Source organism: Homo sapiens, chromosome 5 (assembly GCF_000001405.40).
Source record: "Homo sapiens chromosome 5, GRCh38.p14 Primary Assembly".
Lineage (NCBI taxonomy): Eukaryota > Metazoa > Chordata > Mammalia > Primates > Hominidae > Homo > Homo sapiens.
This window is the reverse complement of record NC_000005.10, coordinates 16,335,208-16,339,074: the sequence shown is the minus strand read 5'-3', so window position 1 is coordinate 16,339,074 and position 3,867 is coordinate 16,335,208. Positions and strand designations below refer to the sequence as shown.

Genomic DNA, 3,867 nt, shown 5'->3' with positions numbered 1-3,867 from the left:
TGGATAAGCTTTTTGATGTGCTGCTGGATTCGTTTTGCCAGTATTTTATTGAGAATTTTTGCATCAATGTTCATCAAGGATATTGGTCTAAAATTCTCTTTTTTGGTTGTGTCTCTGCCTGGCTTTGGAATCAGAATGATGCTGGCCTCATAAAATGAGTTAGGGAGGATTCCCTCTTTTTCTATTGATTGGAATAGTTTCAGAAGGAATGGTACCAGTTCCTCCTTGTACCTCTGGTAGAATTCGGCTCTGAATCCATCTGGTCCTGGACTCTTTTTGGTTGGTAAGCTATTGATTATTGCCACAATTTCAGATCCTGTTATTGGTCTATTCAGAGATTCAACTTCTTCCTGGTTTAGTCTTGGGAGAGTGTATGTGTCGAGGAAGTTATCCATTTCTTCTAGATTTTCTAGTTTATTTGCATAGAGGTATTTGTAGTATTCTCTGATGGTAGTTTGTATTTCTGTGGGATCGGTGGTGATATCCCCTTTATCATTTTTTATTACGTCTATTTGATTCTTCTCTCTTTTTTTCTTTATTAGTCTTGCTAGTGGTCTATCAATTTTGTTGATCCTTTCAAAAAACCAGCTCCTGGATTCATTAATTTTTTGAAGGGTTTTTTGTGTCTCTGTTTCCTTCAGTTCTGCTCTGATTTTAGTTATTTCTTGCCTTCTGCTAGCTTTTGAATGTGTTTGCTCTTGCTTTTCTAGTTCTTTTAATTGTGATGTTAGGGTGTCAATTTTGGATCTTTCCTGCTTTCTCTTGTGGGCATTTAGTGCTATAAATCTCCCTCTACACACTGATTTGAATGCGTCCCAGAGATTCTGGTATGTTGTGTCTTTGTTCTCATTGGTTTCAAAGAACATCTTTATTTCTGCCTTCATTTCGTTATGTACCCAGTAGTCATTCAGGAGCAGGTTGTTCAGTTTCCATGTAGTTGAGCGGTTTTGAGTGAGATTCTTAATCCTGAGTTCTAGTTTGATTGCACTGTGGTCTGAGAGACAGTTTGTTATAATTTCTGTTCTTTTACGTTTGCTGAGGAGAGCTTTACTTCCAAGTATGTGGTCAATTTTGGAATAGGTGTGGTGTGGTGCTGAAAAAAATGTATATTCTGTTGCTTTGGGGTGGAGAGTTCTGTAGATGTCTATTAGGTCTGCTTGGTGCAGAGCTGAGTTCAATTCCTGGGTATCCTTGTTGACTTTCTGTCTCGTTGATCTGTCTAATATTGACAGTGGGGTGTTAAAGTCTCCCATTATTAATGTGTGGGAGTCTAAGTCTCTTTGTAGGTCACTCAGGACTTGCTTTATGAATCTTGGTGCTCCTGTATTGGGTGCATATATATTTAGGATAGTTAGCTCTTCTTGTTGAATTGATCCTTTTACCATTATGTAATGGCCTTCTTTGTCTCTTTTGATCTTTGTTGGTTTAAAGTCTGTTTTATCAGAGACTAGGATTGCAACCCCTGCCTTTTTTTGTTTTCCATTTGCTTGGTAGATCTTCCTCCATCCTTTTATTTTGAGCCTATGTGTGTCTCTGCACATGAGATGGGTTTCCTGAATACAGCACACTGTTGGGTCTTGACTCTTTATCCAATTTGCCAGTCTGTGTCTTTTAATTGGAGCATTTAGTCCATTTACATTTAAAGTTAATATTGTTAGGTGTGAATTTGATCCTGTCATTATGATGTTAGCTGGTTATTTTGCTCATTAGTTGATGCAGTTTCTTCCTAGTCTTGATGGTCTTTACATTTTGGCATGATTTTGCAGCGGCTGGTACCGGTTGTTCCTTTCCATGTTTAGCACTTCCTTCAGGAGCTCTTTTAAGGCAGGCCTGGTGGTGACAAAATCTCTCAGCATTTGCTTGTCTGTAAAGTATTTTATTTCTCCTTTACTTATGAAGCTTAGTTTGGCTGGATATGAAATTCTGCGTTGAAAATTCTTTTCTTTAAGAATGTTGAATATTGGCCCCCACTCTCTTCTGGCTTGTAGGGTTTCTGCCAAGAGATCCGCTGTTAGTCTGATGGGCTTCCCTTTGAGGGTAACCCGACCTTTCTCTCTGGCTGCCCTTAACATTTTTTCCTTCATTTCAACTTTGGTGAATCTGACAATTATGTGTCTTGGAGTTGCTCTTCTCGAGGAGTATCTTTGTGGCGTTCTCTGTATTTCCTGAATCTGAACGTTGGCCTGCCTTGCTAGATTGGGGAAGTTCTCCTGGATAATATCCTGCAGAGTGTTTTCCAACTTGGTTCCATTCTCCCCATCACTTTCAGGTACACCAATCAGACGTAGATTTAGTCTTTTCATATAGTCCCATATTTCTTGGAGGCTTCGTTCGTTTCCTTTTATTCTTTTTTCTCTAAACTTCCCTTCTTGCTTCATTTCATTCATTTCATCTTCCATTGCTGATACCCTTTCTTCCAGTTGATCGCATCGGCTCCTGAGGCTTCTGCATTCTTCATGTAGTTCTCGAGCCTTGGTTTTCAGCTCCATCAGCTCCTTTAAGCACTTCTCTGTATTGGTTATTCTAGTTATACATTCCTCTAAATTTTTTTCAACGTTTTCAACTTCTTTGCCTTTGGTTTGAATGTCCTCCTGTAGCTCAGAGTAATTTGATCGTCTGAAGCCTTCTTCTCTCAGCTCATCAAAGTCATTCTCCATCCAGCTTTGTTCTGTTGCTGGTGAGGAACTGCGTTCCTTTGGAGGAGGAGAGGCGCTCTGCTGTTTAGAGTTTCCAGTTTTTCTGTTCTGTTTTTTCCCCATCTTTGTGGTTTTATCTACTTTTGGTCTTTGATGATGGTGATGTACAGATGGGTTTTTGGTGTGGAGGTCCTTTCTGTTTGTTAGTTTTCCTTCTAACAGACAGGACCCTTAGCTGCAGGTCTGTTGGAATACCCTGCCGTGTGAGGTGTCAGTGTGCCCCTGCTGGGGGGTGCCTCCCAGTTAGGCTGCTCGGGAGTCAGGGGTCAGGGACCCACTTGAGGAGGCAGTCTGCCCGTTCTCAGATCTCCAGCTGCGTGCTGGGAGAACCACTGCTCTCTTCAAAGCTGTCAGACAGGGACATTTAAGTCTGCAGAGGTTACTGCTGTCTTTTTGTTTGTCTGTGCCCTGCCCCCAGAGGTGGAGCCTACAGAAGCAGGCAGGCCTCCTTGAGCTGTGGTGGGCTCCACCTAGTTCGAGCTTCCCGGCTGCTTTGTTTACCTAATCAAGCCTGGGCAATGGCGGGCGCCCCTCCCCCAGCCTCGCTGCCGCCTTGCAGTTTGATCTCAGACTGCTGTGCTAGCAATCAGCGAGACTCCGTGGGCATAGGACCCTCCGAGCCAGGTGTGGGATATAATCTCATGATGTGCCGTTTTTTAAGCCCGTCGGAAAAGCGCAGTATTCGGGTGGGAGTGACCCGATTTTCCAGGTGCCGTCCCTCACCCCTTTCTTTGACTCGGAAAGGGAACTCCCTGACCCCTTGCACTTCCCAAGTGAGGCAATGCCTCGCCCTGCTTCGGCTCGTACACGGTGCGCGCACCCACTGACCTGTGCCCACTGTCTCGCACTCCCTAGTGAGATGAACCCGGTACCTCAGATGGAAATGCAGAAATCACCGTCTTCTGCGTCGCTCACGCTGGGAGCTGTAGACCGGAGCTGTTCCTATTCGGCCATCTTGGCTCCTCCCCGAGGTAATAGCCTATATCTTTATTTTTATTAACCTCTAGCCAAAATGTAGCATTTCCTTTTATTATAAATATAAGCAACAATCACAGTAGTATTAGCTTTACTTGTGACTTTATCACCAATAGAAATCACAGACAAGTTTATACAATATTACATTTGTTACAAATATCTTAAAATACTGTTGATAGTCATTAGTACACTGAAA

At 42.7% G+C, this 3,867-nt stretch overlaps 1 annotated feature.

Annotated features, from left to right (window-relative positions):
* Window positions 2,914–3,461: an enhancer, noted in NCBI's record as "H3K27ac-H3K4me1 hESC enhancer chr5:16335723-16336270 (GRCh37/hg19 assembly coordinates)". NCBI's record gives its function as "activates a minimal SCP1, AML or CMV promoter by ChIP-STARR-seq in primed H9 embryonic stem cells {active_cell/tissue: H9 hESC(primed)}" and the evidence as "EXISTENCE:reporter gene assay evidence [ECO:0000049][PMID:30033119]".